Source organism: Homo sapiens, chromosome X (genome assembly GCF_000001405.40).
Source record: "Homo sapiens chromosome X, GRCh38.p14 Primary Assembly".
In the NCBI taxonomy this organism is placed as follows: domain Eukaryota; kingdom Metazoa; phylum Chordata; class Mammalia; order Primates; family Hominidae; genus Homo; species Homo sapiens.
Genome location: NC_000023.11, coordinates 106856332 through 106876552, shown reverse-complemented (window position 1 = coordinate 106876552; position 20221 = coordinate 106856332). Strand labels below are relative to the sequence as shown.

The 20221-nt window shown below is 37.7% G+C and overlaps 1 protein-coding gene across 3 annotated transcripts in view, besides 1 other annotated feature; it reads right to left on the bottom strand.

The window, feature by feature from the left end:
• Window positions 403–20221, bottom strand: part of TBC1D8B (TBC1 domain family member 8B) — a 73478-nt gene continuing 53659 nt past the window's right edge. For all 3 annotated transcript variants that reach the window (NM_017752.3, NM_001441214.1, NM_001441215.1), the window contains 7 exons: window positions 10926–10994; window positions 10520–10760; window positions 9691–9756; window positions 8077–8160; window positions 7012–7068; window positions 5740–5837; window positions 403–2983 (listed from right to left, as the gene is read on the bottom strand). In NM_017752.3, the coding sequence (NP_060222.2) occupies window positions 2588–2983; window positions 5740–5837; window positions 7012–7068; window positions 8077–8160; window positions 9691–9756; window positions 10520–10760; window positions 10926–10994 (1011 nt within the window). In that variant the 3' untranslated portion in view covers window positions 403–2587. The remainder of the gene's footprint in view (window positions 2984–5739; window positions 5838–7011; window positions 7069–8076; window positions 8161–9690; window positions 9757–10519; window positions 10761–10925; window positions 10995–20221) is intronic.
• Window positions 13216–13275: an enhancer, noted in NCBI's record as "active region_29830". NCBI's record gives its function as "activates an Ori minimal core promoter by ATAC-STARR-seq in GM12878 lymphoblastoid cells {active_cell/tissue: GM12878}" and the evidence as "EXISTENCE:reporter gene assay evidence [ECO:0000049][PMID:35858748]".

Genomic DNA, 20221 nt, shown 5'->3' with positions numbered 1-20221 from the left:
ACACCTGTAATCCACATTTTGGGAGGCTGGGGCGGTAGGATTGCTTGAGCCTAGGAATTTGAGAACAGCCTGGGCTACATAGGGAGACCACATCTCTACCAATAAATAAATAAATGAATGAATGAATAAATAAATAAATAAATAAATAAATAAGCCAGGCATGGTGGTGTGTATCTGTGGTCTCAGCTACTTGGGAGGCTGAGACATGAGGATTGCATGAGCCTGGAAGATCAAGGCTGTACTGCACTCCAATCTGGGTGACAGAATTAGACCTGTCTGTCTGGGTGACAGATTGAGACCTGTCTCAATAAAGAAAAAAAAAAAAAAGAAAAAGAAAGAAAAGAAAAGAAAAAGGAAAAAAAGACATCATAATAAATAATACTAATCTTTTTAAGTAAACCATTTTTCATGTTTAGTAGATATATTTATTTTTATAAAGACAAGTAAAGCCACCTTATAACATATTTAATTTAATGCATAAGGTATAATGAACTGGTTCAGTTTAACACAACTACGTAAGATTTTTAATATTATGAACAACCTGTTTGGTTAACAAGATAGCAGCTATAAAACTATAATGTTTAGTTTGTTTCTCCTGCAGACTCAGAAAATAAATGTTTTCTTTTTGCTTTGCATTTATAAACTTTTTGCAACTCAAAAAATCTCTTTCAGTATTCAATTTTAATTAATCTAGCCTAAAGTATAATACTCAGCAATCTGTACTATTCTGACTTTAAAATCATATCAAATATTAATAACATATATGCTCTTAAGAAAGTACCTTTCTTTGTAAATACAACTGACAAAATATTCAGCAAAGTGTGTACAATAGTGCCTTGTATACATGTGTCTTTCTAGAGCTACTTCAGTATAATTTAACAATCATTGCACAATAGCAGATGTATAATAGTTTCCATATAAACTATTATCTAAGCTGTAAAATATGGACATAGTTCAGCAAATCATTTCTGAGAAAAGGCATAGATGTTTATTTACCAACTATCTCTTTAAGTGGTAATTTCCTTGAAAAGACAAGGTTGATTAAATAATTTAAAGACACTACTAGTAAGTGTTTAGCTAAAACCAATTTATGGGATTTTCAAAGGCTCAACTTGAAAATTCTTGAACTTCTTTGAAAATAACATATTCTATGAGCGATGAAGCCCCATGTGTTAAGCTTTGTTCACAGTGGATTCTTCCCAAAGGCTGACTGTACCAACTCCCTCCAAGAAAGGGAGACCTCTTGAGTCACTCTGAAGGAGGTCTGCCCTTTCATGGTTTCACATCTAGAAAAGTCAAAAGGCTTATAACCAAAGTCTTTTCTAAAGAAAGAAGCTCCAATGAATGATTTCTCCCCCTATTTTCTAAGTCAATTGATTAATAAATTGTCCTTGGTAGGAATAGCACAGGACAGTGGACAAGTATGGTTTGCTTTTTTTTTTTTTGAAAGTGCTAACAAAGCCCATTATCTCTAAATGGACTTGGTGTAATGACTGAAATATAAACAGCATAAAGTATATAGAAATTACACATCTAAATTGGATAGTCAAAACTTTTTAGACAGATGTCAGCAATTCTGTTACCTTGGCAATCATTACATACAAGTATACTTTATATGCTTGCCAGACTAATAAGATAATTCAGTCTTAGTGTAGCCATTCTTTACTATCTAATGTAAATTAACACATGACTGGTGAAAATCCAAAATCTAAAGCTAGAACCAAAACAGTCATAAGCTACTCTGAGACAAATACCACAAACAGCAGTGCCCAGAATTTCTAGTGATGTCTCGGTCTAATGAAAGACCTATACAGTTAATTGAACTGTTTCTTAGCCCTTCTCAGAAGGCTGATTTTACCCAGATTAAATCCAAATCCAATATTGTTTTTTTCTTTATATCAGCCCAGAATTTAGAGTTATTGATTTGCTTTTGTCAGTAACAGAGTTAGCAGTGTGAGTCAGCAGCCTCTGAACCCCTCAGGTAGGAAGACTGTAGAAGGTACTTAAAAAAGCATTTATTACTAGAAGACTGAATGAGATTAACTTAAAAAAATTAATAATATTTCAGTTAGATAACTTGAAAACAAGGGCCCCAAATGGTAATCTTTTAGATAATTTGGAAAGTAGGGTTTATCGATTGACATGACATATCAGCCTCACTAACACCCAAGCATAACACCGTCTTTTCAAAATAATCAGTAATTCATATGTAAATAGCAACACAAGCTAGTAATTTCCTTACTAAAAGTGATATGCTTGTGCCCTCTGGTGGTAACATTTAGCATATTCCCCTGATATTGCATATATTGTGAAATATAAAAAAGTATATTTGTATTTGAGAATATCATCAAAATTTGAGATAACAAATGTGGTTTGCTTTTTTGTTTTGTTTGTTTGTTTGTTTTAAAAAGTGCTAACAAAGCCCATTATCAACAACAAAGGAATGATGCATTGTGCTTCTGGATATATATTTTGGCCTTCAGACACATTGGTAACAAGATAAATCCCTGAGCCCTACTCACAGGAATCAAACTGACAGCTACAGGAATGTTAGTAAACTTGTCTATGATAGGCAATTCCTAGGGATTTACATCTTGGTTCTAGACCTTAACTGAGAAATTCTTGCATTTTCCAGCTTGGCTTTTACATCTATGGGTTTCTCAAAAAACCTCACCAATGCTGGTTCATTCAACAGCGATGCAAGAATCTGTTCAAATGCAAATGACCACTGAGGTTCCTCCCTAAAGGAACAAGGATCTTTCTCCAAGTGGCTCCCTGTTTTTTCCTCACTGGGTCCTCCAGAACCACAGACAGTACCAGAGAATCCTTTGGCTGATGATGTAGGGCTATGTAGTTTCCTTCCAACTTCTTCCATCCTGAGTAAAAGGCTGGTTACAACAGCAATGGCTTGATATAATGATTCTTCTTCAGGGTCCTCATGAAATAAGTTATAGAGGGTCTTTGAAAACTGAATAAACTGAGACTAGAAGACACAAGTTGAAAATATCACGTTTGAATATTAGACTTAGCAAATATAAAGAGAACTTAGAAGTGAATAGTCTCCTATATAGGATTTGTACCATAGAAGCTTCACCCTAGAAGTTATAAGAACTGGTGATTAACCCCAAAATACATATTGGTTCTAGAAAGGTGAGTATGGGCCAGGCGCGGTGGCACATGCCTGTAATCCCAGCACTTTGGGAGGCCGAGGCGGGTGGATCATCTGGGGTCAGGAGTTCGAGACCAGCCTGGCCAACGTGGTGAAACCTCTACTAAAAATACAAAAAATTAGCTGGGCGTGGTGGCAGGCACCTGTAATCCCAGCTACTTGGGAGGCTGAGGCAGGAGAATCGCCTGAACCATGGAGGCAGAGGTTGCAGTGAGCCGAGATCGTGCCATTGCACTCCAGCCTGGGCAACAAGAGAGAAACTCCATCTTAAAAAAAAAGATGAGTATGAACCATGGAAGAAAATTTCATTTAAGTGCTCTCACTTATTGCCTAATAGTACATTTTATCCAGACTAATTCCTGGACTGTTTGCCTGCCAGCATTACTTAAATGTTAGGTGCTATTTTTTTTTCCTTAGACAAGGCCTTGCTGTGTTGTCCAGGCTTGAGTACCATGGTGCAATCATAGCTCACTGCAGCTTCCAACTGCTGGGCTCAAGTGATCCTCACACCTCAGCTTCCCAAGTAGCTAGGACTATAGGCACATGCCACCATGCCTGGCTAATTTTCACATTTTTTGTAGAGACAGGATCTTACTATGTTGCCTGGGCTGATCTCAAACTCCTAGCCTCAAGTGCTCCTCTCCTACTTTGGCCTCCCAAAGCACTCAGATTACAGGCATGAGCCACTGCGCCTGGCCAGGTGGTACTTCTAATTAGGCAAAGTCCCTTTGAAGCTGTCCTCAGAGGGTGAACAAGAATTCTGGACAGAAATATAGTTAAAATTATGCATAAATTAGGCTGCACTTTGACCTGCTTCCATGGAATGAAAAGTCACTGACATTAGAATCATAGGCTTTTGTTTAAGAATTGTTTAAGATGTTTAATCCTGAATTCCATATATATATATATATATATATATATATATATAAATATTTTTCTGGGTTCCTAGTTCACAACTCCCATAGTCCTTTGTTACAGTCTTTTCTTCCCTTCCCTTCTCTCCCCTTTCCCTCCCCTTCCCCTTCCTTCCCCCTCCCCCTCCCCTCCCCTTCCTTCTTTCTTTTTGACAGAGTTTCGCTCTTGTCACCCAGGCTTGAGTGCAGTGGTGAAATCTCAGCTCACCCAGGTTGGAGTGCAATGGTTAAATCTCAGCTCGCCCAGGCTGGAGTGCAATGGTGCAGTCTCGGCTCACTGCAACCACCACCTCCCAGGTTCAAGTGATTCTCCTGCCTCATCCTCCAGAGTAGCTTTCTGATAGTCGGTCTTAAAACCCTCCCTAGAAAGGGTCTTACCTCATACCCTTAGGGGAAGGAATGCTGACATCATGAAGCTTCCATAAAAACCCAAGATAACTGGGTTCAGGGAGCTTCTGATAGCTGAATGCATGGAGGCTGACAGGAGGAAGGTAAAGAAGAACTCATCCTCATGCCGGGAGGGTGGTGCACCCCAACTCCACGTGGAGAGAAGCTCCTGCGCTTGGGACCCTTCCAGACCTCGCCCTGTGTATCTCTTCTTCTGGCTGTTTATTTGTATTCTTTAAAATATCCTTCTTAGTAAACCAGTAAATATAACTATTTCTCTGAGTTCTGTAAGTCTCTCTGTAGCAAATTAATCGAACTCAAAGAAGGGATAGTGGGAACCCCAACTTGAAGTTGGTCAGCCAGAAGTTCAGGAGGCTCAGACTTGTTACTGGGGGAAAGGAGGGAGCAGTCTTGGGGACTGAACACTCAACCTGTGGGATCTCATACTATTTCTAGGTAGATAGTGTTGGAATTTAATTGGAGGACACTCAGCTGGTATCTGCTGCTTGGTTGGGGGGAAAACCCCCACACATTTGGCCACAGACATTTTCTTCTATGTTGATGATTGTTATTGTCATGGTGTGAGAGTAGAGGAAAAAAGGCAGTTTGAGAGAATTTTTCCCTAAACAATAGTACTGTTCATTTATAGTAATTCTAGAATAAATATGTCATACTGACTCATTTTAGAAAGTACTTATTCAATTGTCAAATGATATAGTCCACTGAGAAATATGAAGTTATTTGATAGTTTTCATTTTGGTAAAGTTCTCGGGATCCTCAGTATCTGTACTAACCAGATTTTAATTACAAAAAGAAGAACATATTTTGATTAGGCAGTGTATAAGAAAGAGATGAACTTAAAATTATGTTCAGATATAAGATCAGTAGGAACCAGGGTGTGACCCATCTCAGTAATTTATCATTCCCAGTACCTAGCATTGGGTTTGGTATCTGGTATACAGTAAACAAATGTTTACTGAATAAATGAACATTTCCAATAAAGTTGGAAATATACTACACATACTTTTTTTCTATAGGTACATGTCACAGCAGAAGAATTCTCTGAAACACTGGACACATTTGAGTGTTAAAAATAAAAAAATCATTAAAAAATTTCTTCCCACTCTTCCATGCTCATCTGAAACTTAGAGAGCTAATAGATAGATTATTTAACTATTTTGGGAATAGCATGTTAGCTATTTTAGAGGTTACACCCACATCCATACAAAAAAGCAAGAACTTAGAATTTTCTTTTTAAAAATGCTATACCTGATTCATTCTTGGTAAATCCTTAATGTTTTCTTCTTTTTTGAAAAGCTCATCTTGCCATTGACTTAGATATGCTTGAATATCAATTTTCCCTTTGCCTGAAGAAAGGGAGTAAAACCATTTCATAAGGAACAGCCCACTATACTTTCCCAAAATTCAAAAATAATAATTATGATTAAAAGGTATTTCACTGAGATATAAGATCCCATTTTTTTAATCCAGGAAATGATCTGAAATTACCTTTCATTTCACCCACTGGCTCTCAGAATACTTTTCCCATTTCTGTTTAGACTAAAACGTTTACTTTAGGAAAGTTGGGAACTAGGGAATATGTGGCGAGAGAGGGAGAAAGGACATATTTAGATTAAAACAATACACCCCGACTTAATAATGCAAATTTTATGTAGTCATTCTCATGTATACTATTAAGTTTAAAACAGCTTCTATATTATGTTCTTAATATGCATATATTGTTCCAAAGTGGGCTGGGCACGGTGGCTCACGCCTGTAATCCCAGGGCTTTGGGAGGCCGAGGTGGGCAGATCACCTGAGGCCAGGAGTTCGAGATCAGCCTGGCCAACATGGTGAAACCCTGTCTCTACTAAAAATATGAAAATTAGCCGGGTGTGGTGGTGGGCGCCTGTAGTCCCAGCTACTCGGGATGCTGAGGCAGGAGAATGGCTTGAATCCAGGAGGCAGAGGTTGCAGTGAGCTGAGATCATGCCACTGCACTCCAGCCTGGGCGACAGAGCAAGACTCCATCTCAAAACAAACAAAACAAAGTGGTCTTTAGTAGCTCTTTTTCAAAAATTTGAAACACTACTTATTCATTCAAAGAGTTTAAGATACAAATGTACTGACATTAAAAGATGTCCATGATATACTGCAAAATCCAAAAAGGAAATTATAAAACAGTACTTATGGAATATTTTTTTAAAAAAGAGAGATGTCTGCATATATTGTGTATACATAGGAATAGATCTGAAAAGGATATAGACAAAAATGTTTTCGGGTAGGGTTGAGTGAAGACAAAAGGACTTATGTACTGTCTGAATTTCTTTTCTAAGAATTATCTATTACTTTTGTAATTAAAAACAAATCTTTTAAAAATAATAAAATTAAATGAATATGGGTCATTTACTATCATATTTTCTATAATTTCTGAGACATCAATAGCCTTTAAAAGGAATCCACCTTTTCCCCCTTTGTAGCTATCCTTATTTACATAAAAATAACTAAATAAATTAAATGATAACTCCTAGATCATAGTACCTTTTTCAGGGCTGTGTTTTGCTGATTCTGCTTCCTTCTCATTTGCAGGCTTGGAAACTATAAGAAAAGATGTAATTGCATTCTGTAAGATGTTTAACAAATACTCTTTGAAAGCAAAATAATGTTTCATATAGACGTATAAGCACATTATTTTATTCAATTCTGCAAACAAATTTTAGCTGACTTGACCTATCATCAGAAGACAAAATATTCCAAAACTTTCACAGTAAAAAGAACATTGGGGGAAAATCCGTATTTTAAAAAATCTTAGAAGGAAGCATACCAAATATTAAGTATTTATTTCTGGGTGGTATTTTCTTCTTTGTGACTTTCTTTAAATAAAGTTATATTACTTTTATTATCAGGAGAAAAAAAGCACATACTGGACGTCAGAAGAGTGTGCTACAAAGCCCTGACTGTGGCAACAACTCACTGTGAAACCTTGCACAAGTCACTTCTCTCTGGGCCTTAGTGCCTTTATCTATAAAAGGAAGAGACTTGACTAGATGATTTGTAAGGTCCCTTCAAACTTAATGTTCAAACACTTTAACATATAATAACCACAAATATACATTAATCAGGGTTCATCCCTCTATAGGACATTGAATATTTATGAAAATAAACTAAAGGACACAAAAATAAACTCATATCACTTTAAATTTTGTCTTGGAGACAGACTCATCCCTGTCTCCTACACCTACAGTGATTTATAATAAGTATTCACTGTTTGAAAAATAGCTATGGCCTTTAATCATCAAAGATTCTATTGTATTTTATCAAGGCATGAAAATGGTCTAATACATTTTAGAAATTTCTGCAACGTAAGTAGAAACAAAATACATTATTGAGTCTCCAATAAGCAAGAAATTCCACAAATCAAAGCACCAAAATGCAATTTGGTTAACCGGTCAAACATTTATGGACCATGCTAAGTGCTGTGGTAATACAAAAGAAGTATAAGTTAAAATGAAGCCCAATTTTAGTTGGGTAAAGTATATCTAAGTCAGCAAGATCTTTATGGGTGGCTAATCATCAAAACAGTTAACATTTTAAACAGGTATTTACCATGCAGCTGACTGAAATAAAGTAATTCTTCCTTGGAAAGTTCATCTCCTTTTGAAGCATCCTTAGATTTCACTTCAGTGTAAGCTGAAAACATATAAATAACCCAAATTACATTTATTAACAACCAGGGGCAGAGATGAGGTTCATAATGGGTCAGGTATATCTGGGAACTGGGTGTTAAAGAGTTTCTGTATAAGAAAGATGTAAGTGAAGAAATACAGAAGTGGTTCTACTCTACTGTAATATATAGTAATTATACTGTAATATATGTAATATATATAAAATATAGTAAATACAAGAAGTAGTTGATCATTTTGAGTTCTATTTTTTTCCTACTTGTTTTTTTAATGGTTTTCCAAGAGCTATTAAAAGTTGAAATTGTTTAAATCTGGCATTTAGAAATCTCTGAAAATGTGACCTCAGCCATTTAAAAAACATCCTCAATAATAAGGAAAACAGAAAGTTGGGTGCTTTGGTTTACTTCCTACTTGTGCTTTAACAGGTACATAATGTTTTTCCTATTTTTTTATCCCTCTGTTAAAAGCATAGTTGATGACAATATTAAACATTCTAACAGTAGCCTGATTTGACAATGGAAACTCCTTTTATAATTAAATTTTTAGGTGATTTGTCTTTTGCTTTTAATGATGTGTTTGTGATTTGAGTGTGTGAAGGGTTAAAGATGGCCTTTACCTTGTTGGTGTGGTAAAGAATGTTTCCCGGCTATCCTGAGAAAAGCTGAAAAGGGATCCCAGGTGTAGCTTTAAACAAATTATGAGGTGCTGTTTGTTTTTGTGAACTACCCCATCTCGGCTAAAAGGTACTTTTTGCAATGCTCCTTCAGTTTAAAGCCTAAGACTGTTTTCACAAAGTAGGGATCAGGCTTTGGCAAGGCATCCTCTTCAGGTCAGTGGGAAAAACAAGTAAACTGAATGGTGTGGTAATTTTGAGGTAGTACGGAAGAATATAAAGAAATGTGAGCTTTGGAGTCAGACTTCAGTTTGCTATGCAATTTATTAGCGATGTGATCTTTGGCAAATTTTTATCTTTCCAGCTCTCAGTTTCCTTATCATCAAAATTGGAAGGATAATGCCACCTATCATGGATATTATGAGAATTAAATTTTAAAAATGCATGTAAAGTTAATGTCTTGACAGAGCAGGTGCTTAATAAATGATAGCGTTTATTGTGCTTCCTTTTTAAAATATTTAATATCCCTGCTTCCTTGTCCCATTTTTCTGAATAATTTGTAGTATTTCGCAGGTTTGGCAGTTTGTCTAAAGTTAATTTCCACTCTAATGACAACAACAACAATTCAACATTATACCAACAATCAAATGATATGTGATTCTTATATACAAACTACTTATCATTAAATTGACTACTAACAGGAAGGAAACTTGTGGGCCCATATGTTACACAGAATCTCTTCCATAGAAGATCACTGTATCTATATCAGCAAAAAGTAGTCATAATATAATTTGAGGGCCACAGTGAAGCAACGATCTTATATCATGTTGAAAATTAGTTTAGTTGTTAAAAAAATCTGTAATTATACTTGCTAAAATGGAATAAATTCCTGCTGTACATCGTTAAAGACTGGTAAACTCTTACCTGGAGGAATATGTAGCTTAAAAAGCAGCTTAAGCTTCTCAGTAAAACTTCCATTGTACATTATGTCTGTTCAATAAAATTCAATTGTAAATAATCATGTATCTAAAGAACATTCAATCAATTTCAGCAACAAAGATTAATTAAGATATAGACATTAGTCAAAAATTAGGATTTAGAAACCTGTTACTTAAGCTAACAATTAAACAACCACCTAGTCAATCAGATGCTCTCCTTCAAGTGTATAACTGTATAAGCAAAATACTCTTTATCAAAAAAGTAAAATGTTCTCTTTCCTAGCTCCTTCCCCCCAATCTCAGATTTCTCTTTTCTTTTGAATGAGGCCTGTGCAGGAGAGAACTGTTCTTCAAGGGGTGATCCCTGATAAGAAAGCATGCTGGGGTATCTGGAAAAGCAAATGAACAATATCTACAGGTACAACATCTTGACTATCTGTAGGTACAACATGTTTGCTGGGTATTTATCTACCACTCTTCTAGGCTATGTGGTTGAATTTTTACGGGGAGGTCGGTGGGGTGGGGGAAGTCCTTCGGTAGTACCCATGCATCTGAGTGTGGGAAAATTGGGACGTTATCTTCCTTATGTTAACCCTTAAAACACTCACATCTAACAGCTTGCTTTTCTGAAAGGGTTGGGGAAAATAATATCAAAATACTTAGATTTAGCAACAAATGCAGAAAAGGGTCCATTTATTACTAAAGCTAAACACACTGTAACCCATGGTGATATAATCTGACTAAATTGGCAATAATAGGCAGTACTAAGTATTTCTAGGAGCACCTTTTTTTTTTGCTTAAAAAAATCATCTTACCAATTGCAGAGGAGAATTCTTTGAAGTTTATAAGGCAATCAGAGTTTTCATCTAACAATCTGAATGTCCATAAAGCTAGTGAGTCTTTATTTGCAGAATGAGCCCAGGGACTCAACAAGTGATACAACGCTCTGAACTGCTGGCAGTCAATCTGATACTGTTCCAAATATGGCAGACTGGGGTCATGATGCTTCAATACTGGGCAACCCAAACACCAATAACAAGATAAAAACAGCTCTTTCTATTAAAAATAAATAAAAAAGGAAAGTTACTAATTAGAAAAAGTAATTTTGGAAGATTTTAAAAACCATGTCTGCTAAAATAAAGATAAAAATAATTAGAATGGCTGTGATACAATTCTGCTAAAAAAAAGCATTATTTTTCATTTAAAGAAGAACAACAGTACCTTAAAGATGACATAAAGTTCATCCAATTCTTGAAGGCTCAATTTCACATCTTGTGATACAACACGCAACTTTAAAAAGATTAAAAGCAATTTAGTACACAGATTTTAACATTGCAGTAAAGAAATTCTCTTTGAATTACCTTAGAGTCTCTCTCTGCTAGAAGAAAATATTTGTGTTTTAACTTCTTAAATGAATAATAAAAAGTTATTATAAGTTATTATATTATAAAGTTATTATCTATTTTTCCTTTTAAAAAGTAGTAGTAGACTAGTTCAATTCTACTCTAATATGTACTTTGATATTCATCTCTTCATACTCAGAAATCACTGCCAAAGAACAGCCACTTAATGTCTATAAATATAAGTAACAGTATTCTAAGTCCTATTCCATATATTCCTCTCTTGCCACATAAGCAGCATATCTAGTCATCATGTGAGGTTGCTATTAAATACTTCAAAGGCATTGGGAGATGTACATTCCCTCTCTATGCCAAAAAACATAATCCAAGAAGTAATAAGCTTAGAAAATATGTACTTTTATCCTATTCCATGAAGAAGAAGGACTAATGATACAATCATTATGATATCTAAGAAATTTGAAAGCAAAGGTAAAGAAAAAAGCTAGAATTGATGAAATACAGAAAATTAAAAAAACCCGGTAGACTCAGTAAATAAAATTAAGAGTTGGTTTATTGAAAAAATCAATAAGATAGACACATTTCTGGCAAGTGAGATGAAAGAAATCACAAATGACTATCATCGAGAAGTGGATAATTTAAGCATGGATACAGAAGTCATTTAAAGTGCCCAGCAGAGGAATGGTGGCTCATGCCTGTAATCCCAGCACTTGGGAGGCCAAGGCAGGCAGATCACTTGAGGCCAGGAGTTCAAGACCAGCCTGGCCAACTTGGTGAAACCCTGTCTCTACTAAAAATACAAAAATTAGCCAGGTGTGGTGGCGTATGCCTATAATCGCAGCTACTCAGGAGACTGAGGCACAAGAATCACTTGAACCCGGGAGGCAGAGGTTGCAGTGAGCCGAGATCATGCCACTGTATTCCAGCCTGGGCGACAGAGTGAGACTGTCTCAAAAAAAAAAAAAAAAAAAAAAAAAAGGTGCCCAGCATGGGAGGGGCCAATATGACAAACTAGAAGCAGATCATGGGTGCTGCTCTCTTATGGAGGGGAAACAAAGGGTTTAGTGAACACTGACCCTAAAAGCCAATCATCTAAGAAACCACACTGGGAACCATCAAAGCAGCAAGGGGACACAGAGAGCAGAGAGGAGGGAAGCTGGGCAGCAGCCTATCTGGCATCAATGCGGAGTCAGGAGAAGCTCCCCAATACGGGAGAGGGTAATTCACACTCTCCATGGGGATCTGTGTAAGGCTGGGAGTGGGAGAATTCCCCTGCCCTAACCCCCTACTTGCCACTCTCATCCTCCCACCTCACCTCTAAACTGAGGCAGAGAGCCACCCAGACGGTTTGCAGAGGCAACTCTTAAGTCCAAGGGGACCTCTACAAGCCTCGGATCCTGGAACAGACCAACACCAGCGCCACAGCCCCAATAGAGGCCAAAGTCATGGTGCCTGGGAGCAGTAGGATTGGTCCACCCTCCTCACCAGACAAGGCTTGGTGCCAGCTTCCAGCCCAGCACTACCGCTTCTGCCTGAAATCGGCCAGAGGCTGCAGCCTCCTGTTGTCCCATGAAACACCTACACGGCAGGGCGGACGACCCCACCTGCTCCTGTCACTGGTAGCCAGGCGAGCAACACCTGCTGGAGCTTCCAGCCCAGATGTCCCGCTTCTGCCTGAACTTAGCCAGTGGCTGCAACATCCTGTTGTCACTGGAAACACCCAACAGGCAGGGCAGGTGACCCCACCACGCTCCACCACTGGTAGCCAGGTGGGCAATGCCTGTTAGAGCTTCCAGTCCAGTGGTCCAGCTTCTGCCTAAACTCTGCTGGCAGTTGCAACCCCTGGTACCCTCAGGATGCACTTGGACAGCAGATTAGGTGACACTACTCACTCCCGCAGCTCCCAGTTGGGCGGGACTTTCTGACTTAGGTGGTGCCCAAGCATCACTGAGAGATGAGACACCCAGGTTCGCAGCTTGATAGAGGGGTGGTGTGTGCCTCCCTCCACAGGGCCGACCCAGTAAGGATAAGACCTGTTTGCCAACTGTGGCTCCTACCTGAGGGAGCCCTGTGGACCAGAGCACCCAACAAAAGAAATGCGGGCATGAAGCCAGTAATCAGAAGGGGTTCCTCCAAGGCCCAGGGGTGGACTAGGTGAATGGGCCATCTCCCTGTCCCCATTCACAGACCATTACCCTGGAGCCATGCAGCAGAGCAAGAAGCTATCTGCTGGCTAACACTCTTAAGCGCCACCTACTGGATCGCAGCCCAAAAGACAACACTAAAATATTCTGCCAGTATACACCACCTGTGAAAACTAAGGTAAAGGCTCCTACGAGCACCCAGCCTGAGCCAATGCATGTGTATGCTGCCACGCTGCCACGGATGCTGGCATGCACGAGCAAGCATGGATTCCACCGCCACCACCCCGACTAAGTGTTTTGGCTAGCACCTCCATTGTAGTGTTGAGGCCAGTGGACTGGGAACACCTTGGCCTCTCTGGCAGAGCAGGTTCCTAGCCCCGAGGGCCCAGAGAACAAAGCTGGGGGTCTGGTACCAGCCCCGCAGAGGTAGCACACTCATCTCAGGAGAGCTCAGGTGAGCCTTGGCCATCTGAAATCTTCAAAATCAAAGCCAGTCAACTGAATCCACAATCAAACCCCCAAGGGCATCAAAGAAGATAAAAGCAAAAAAAAAAAAAAAAAAAAAAAAAACAAAAAAAAACCCATCCAAAGGAAAACAACTTCAGAGATTAAAGGAATATCAGCTCACGCAGATGAGAAAGAACCAGCACAAGAACTCTGGCAACTCAAAAAACCAGAGTGTCACCTTACCTCCAAACAACTGCACTAGTTCCCCAGCAGTGGTTCTTAGCCAGGCTGAAATGGCTGAAATGACAGACATATAATTCAGAATCTACATAGAAATGAAGATCATTGAGATTCAGGAGAATGTTGAAACCCAATCCAAGGAATCTAAGGAATACAATAAAAGGATACAAGAGGTGAAAGACAAAATGACCATTTTAAGAAAGAATCAAACTGATCTGATAGGGCTGAAAAACTTACTACAAGAATTTCATAATACTATCACAAGCATTAACAACAGAATAGACCAAGCTGAGGAAGGAATCTCAGAACTCGAAGACTGGTTCTCTGAATTAACTTAGACAAAAATAAATGAACATTTCCCCAACTTTGCTAGACAGGACAACATTAAATTCTGGAAATGCAGAGAACCCCTGCAAGATACTATATAAGATTACCATCCCCAAGCCACACAGTCATCAGATTCTCCAAGGTCAACATGAAAGAAAAAATATTAAAGGCAGCTAGAGATAAGGAGCAGGTCACCTAAAAAGGAAATCCCATTAGCCTAACAGTGTACTATTCAGCAGAAATGCTACAAGCCAAAAAAGATTGAAGGCCTATATTCAGCATTCTTAAAGAAAAGAAACTCCAGCCAATAATTTCGTATTCAGCCAAACTAAGCTTCATAAGCAAAGGAGAAATAAGATCCTTCTCAGACAAGCAAGTGCTAAGGGAATTCATGTTCATTAGATCTGCCTTACAAGAGATCTTGAAAGGAGTGCTAAATATGGAAAGGAAAGACGATTATCAGCCACTACAAAAACACACTTAAGTACATAGACTATTGACACAATAAAGCAACTACACAATCAGTTTTGCATAATAATCAGCTAACAACATGATATCAGGATCAAATCTACACATATTAATATTAACCTTGAATGTAAACAGGCTAACCAGAATGTAACTAGACTGCCCTAATTAAAAGGCACAGAGTGGCAAGTTGGATAAGATAGTGAGATGCAACTGAATGATGTCTTCAAGAGACCTATCTCACATGCAATGACATCCAAAGGCTCAAAGTAAAAGGTTGAGGAAGAATCTACCAAGCAAATGGAAAACAGAAAAAAGCAGGGCTTGCTATTCTGATTTCAGACAAAACAGACTTTAGGCCAACAACAACAACAAAACAAAACAAAAAAGGAATTATATAATGGTAAAGGATTCAAGTCAACAAGAAGACATCTATCTTAAATATATATGCAGTCAACACAGGAGCACTCAGATTCATGAAACAGGTTCTTAGAGGCCTATAAAGAGACTTAGATAACTACACAATAATAGTGGGGGACTTCAACACCCCACTGACAGTATTAGTCATATCATCAAGGCAGAAAACTAACAAAGATATTCGGGACCTGAACTCAACACTTGACCAAACGGACCTAACAGATATCTACAGAACTTTTCCCCCCAAAACAACAGAACATATTCTTCTCGTCTGCACATGGCACATACTCTAAAATTAACCACACAATCAGACATAAAACAATCCTCAGCAAATTCAAAAAACCCAAAATCATAACAACTATACTCTTTGGACCATAGCATAATAAAAATGAAAATAAATACTAAGAAGATTGCTCAAAACCATATAATCACATAAAAATTAAACAATCTGCTCCTGAATGACTTTTGGGTAAGCAATGAAACTAAGGAATAAATCAAGAAATATTTAAAACTAATGAGAATAAAGATACAACATATCAGAATCTCTGGTACACAGTTAAAGCAGTGTTAAGAAGGAAGTTTACAGCATAAATGCTTACATAAAAAAGTTAGAAAGATCTGAAATTAACAACCTAACATCACACCTAGAGGAACTAGGAAAACAAGAACAAACCAATCCCAAAGCTAGCAGAAGACAAGAAATTACCAAAATCAGAGCTGATCTGAATGAAATCAAGACATGAAAACCCATACAAAAGATCAATGAATCCATGAGTTGGCTATTTAAAAGAATAAATAAGACTGATAGACCACTAGCTAAACTAACAAAGAAAAAAGAGACGATACAAATAGACACAATCAGAAATGACAAAGAGACATTACCACTGACCCCACAGAAATACAAAAAATACCCTCAGAGACTACTATGAACACCTCTATGTACACAAACTAGAAAACCTAGAAGAAATGATAAATTCCTGGAAACACACAACTTGCCAAGATTGGACCAGGAAGAAATTGAAACCCTGAACAGACCAAAAACAAGTTCTAAAATTGAATCAGAAACACACACACACACACACACACACACACACACACACACACACACACCAATCATAAAAAGCCCAGTACCAGATGGATTCACAGCCAAATTCTACCAGACATATAAAGAAGAGCTGGTACCATTCCTACTGAAACTATTGCAAAAAATTGAGGAGAAATGACTCCTCCTTAACGCATTCTTTTAGGCCAGTGTCATTCTGCTACCAATAACTGGCAGAGACACAACAAAAAAAAGAGAAAACTTCAGGCCAATATCCTTGAGGAGAACAGATGCAAAAATCCTCAACAAACTACTAGCAAACCAAATCTAGCAGCACATCAAAATGCTAACACACCATGAGCAAGTATGCTTTATCCCTGGGATACAAGGTTGGTTCAACATACACAAATCAATTAATGCAATTCATCACAAAAACGAACTAAAACAAAAACCACACGATCGTCTCAATAGATGCAGAAAAAGCTTTCAGTAAGATTCAACATCACTTCGTGTTAAAAAGCCTCAACAAACTAGGCATTGAAGAACTGTATCTCAAAATAATAAGAGCCATTTATGACAAATCCACAACCAAAATCATACTGAATGGGTAAAAGCTGGAAGCATTCCCCTTGAGAACCAGAAGACAAGGATGCCCACTCTCACCACTCTGGTTCAACATAGTACAGACAGTCCTAGCCCGAACAATCAGGCAAGAGAAAGAAATAAAAGGCATCCAAATAGGAAGAGAGGAAGTCAAACTATTTCTATTTGCAGATGATATGATTCTATATGTAGAAAACCCCAAAGTCTCAGCCCAAAAGCTCCTAGATTTAGTAAACAACTTTGGCAAAGTTTCAGAATACAAAAATCAGTAGCATTTCTATGTACCAACAAAGTCCAAGCTGAGAGCCAAATCAAGAACTCAATCCTACTCACAATAGCCAAAAAAAGAGTAAAATACCTAGGAATACAGCTAACTATGGAGGTGAAAGGTCTCTACAATGGGGATTACAAAACATTTCTCAAAGAAATCAGAGGTGACACAAGCAAATGAAAAACATTCCATTCTCATGGATAGGAAGAATCAATATTGTTAAAAAGGCCATACCAACCAAAGCAATTTAAAGATTCAGTGCTATTCCTATCAAACTACCAATGACATTCTTCACAGAATTAGAAAAAACTATTCTAGAAAATTCATATGGAACCAGAAAGGAGCCCAAATAGCCAAAGCAATACTAAGCAAAATGAACAAAGCTAGAGGTATCACGTTATTCACCTTCAAACTATACTACAAGGCTACAGTAACCAAAACAGCATGGTACAGGTACAAAAACACACATAGTCTAACGGAACAGAATGGAGTGCCCAGAAATAAAGCTGCACACCTATAACCATCTGATCTTTAACAAAGTCAACAATAACAAGCAATGGGGAAAGGACAACCTATTCAATAAATGGTGCTGGGATAACTGGCTAACCACAGGTAGAAGATTGAAACTAGATCCCTACCTTCCACCATATACAAAAATCAACTCAAGATGGATTAAAGACTTAAATGTAAAACCTACAACTATAAAAAGCCTTGAAGAAAACCTAGGGAGTACCATTCTAGATATAGGCGGTGGCAAAGATTTCACAACAAAAATGCCAAAAGCAATTGCAACAAAAATAAAATTTGACAAATGGGACTAATTAAACTAAGGAGCATTTGCACAGTAAAACTATCAACAGAGTAAACAGACAACCTACAGAGTGGGAAAAAATATTTGCAAACTATGCATCTGACAAAGGTCTAATATCCAGAATCCATAGGAAGTTAAAAAATTAAAAACCAGGCCAGGTGTGGTGGCTCATGCCTATAATCCCAGCACTTTGGGAGGCTGAGGCGGGTGGATCACAAGGTCAGGAGATTGAGACCATCCTGGCTAATGTGGTGAAACCCCGTCTCTACTAAAAATACAAAAAATTAGCTGGGCATGGTGGCGGATGCCTGTAGTTCCAGCTATTCAGGAGGCTGAGGCAGGAGAATGGCGTGAACCTGGGAGGCGGAGCTTGCAGTGAGCCAAGATCGCACCACTGCACTCCAGCCTGGGTGACACAGCAAGACTCTGTCTCAAAACAAAAACAAAAAACAAAACCCAAAAATCAAACAACTCCATAAAAAAGTGGGCAAAGGACATGGACAGACACTTTTCAAAAGAAGACCTACATGCAGCCAACAAGCACATGATCAACATCACTAAATATTAGAGAAATGCAAATCAAAATCACAATGAGATACCGTCTCACACAATCAGAATGATGATTATTAAAAAGTCAAAAAATAACAAGATGCTGGTGAGGTTGTGGAGTAAAGGGAATGCTAATACACTGCTGGTGGAAATGTAAATTAAGTCAGCCACTGTGGAAAGCAGTTTGAAGATATCACAAAGAACTTAACAGAGAACTACCATTCAACTCAGAAATCCCATTACTGGGCATATACCTAAAGGAATATAAATTATTCTACCATAAAGACACATGTATGTGTATGTATGTCACAGCATTATTTGCAATAGCAAAGACATGGAATCAACTTAGATGCCCATCAACAGTAGACTGGATAAAGAAAATGTGGTCAATATACACCATGGAATATTATGCAGCCATAAAAAAGAATAATATTATGTTCTTTGGAGCAACATGGATGGAGCTGGAGACCGTTATCCTAAGTGAACTAACAGAGGAAAAGAAAACCAAATACTGCATGTTCTCACTTATAAGTGGGAGCTAAACATTGAGTACACATGGACACAAAGAGGGAAACAATAGAAACAGGGGCCTACATGAGTATGGAGGGTGGGAGGAGGGTGAAGATCAAAAAACTACCTATTGAGTACCATTATTACCTGTGTGATGAGATAATCTGTACACGAAACCCTGTGACACATAATTTACCTATATAACAAACCTGCGGCTGGGTGTGGTGGCCATGCCTGCAAACCCAGCACTTCGGGAGGCTGAGGCGGGTGGATCACCTGAGGTCAGGAGTTTGAGACCAGCCTAGTCAACATGGTGAAATCCCATCTCTACTAAAAATACAAAAATTAGCTGGGCATGGTGACAGGCACCTGTAATCCCAGCTACTCGGGAGGCTGAGGCAGGAGAATTGCTTGAACCCAGGAGGTGGAGGTTACAGTGAGCAGAGATTGTGCCACTGCACTCCAGCCTGGGCGACAGTGAGACTCAGTCTCAAAAAAAACAAAAAGAATAAGACAAAGAAGCCTGCTTCTACTGCTATTATTCAATAATTCTCTGAAGATCCTACTTAATGCAATAACACAGAAAAAAGAAAAGAGGTATAAATGTTAGGAAGGGTCAAAATTCTAAGACTGGAAATGACATGCTTGTCTATTCAGAAAATTCGAGGTCAACTAAAAAAAATAGTACAATTAATGAGAGTCAATAATGCGACCACTTAGAAAAGCAACATACCCAAATCAATAACTTTTACACACACAGCCAATAAAGAATTAGGCAATGTAAAGGAAAAATGATCTCATTCATATTAGCAGCAAAACCATAAAATATATAGGGGTAGAATAAACCCAATAAGAAATGTGTAAGACCTAGATGATGAAAATTAAAATGCTTACTAAAGAACATTTAAAAAGACAGACTGTTAAAATGAATAAAAGCCTTACCAGATTTCAAAGTAGACAAACTATGGTAATTGAAAGAGTGTGGTACTGTTGTAGTAACAAAAAAAGAGAGTCCAAAAATAAAGCCCATGTATGTATATAAGAATTTAGCATATGAAGAAAGTAGAGTACTGTGAGGATAAACTATTTAATAATTGGTTTTTAGAAAATGAGTGATTTTGGTTGGAAAAACATAATATTACATAATAAAAAAATATACTCTAGGTATATTAAAGTTCTAAATGTTAAAAAAGCAATACCAGTACTATAGGCCAATATGAAAAAATATTTTTATAATTTATATAATTTTAAATAGGGAAAGCCTGCTAAGTTTGATATGAAACCCAGATATCATGTAATAAAAAAGAGAAAGACTTCAAGAAAATTTGTAACT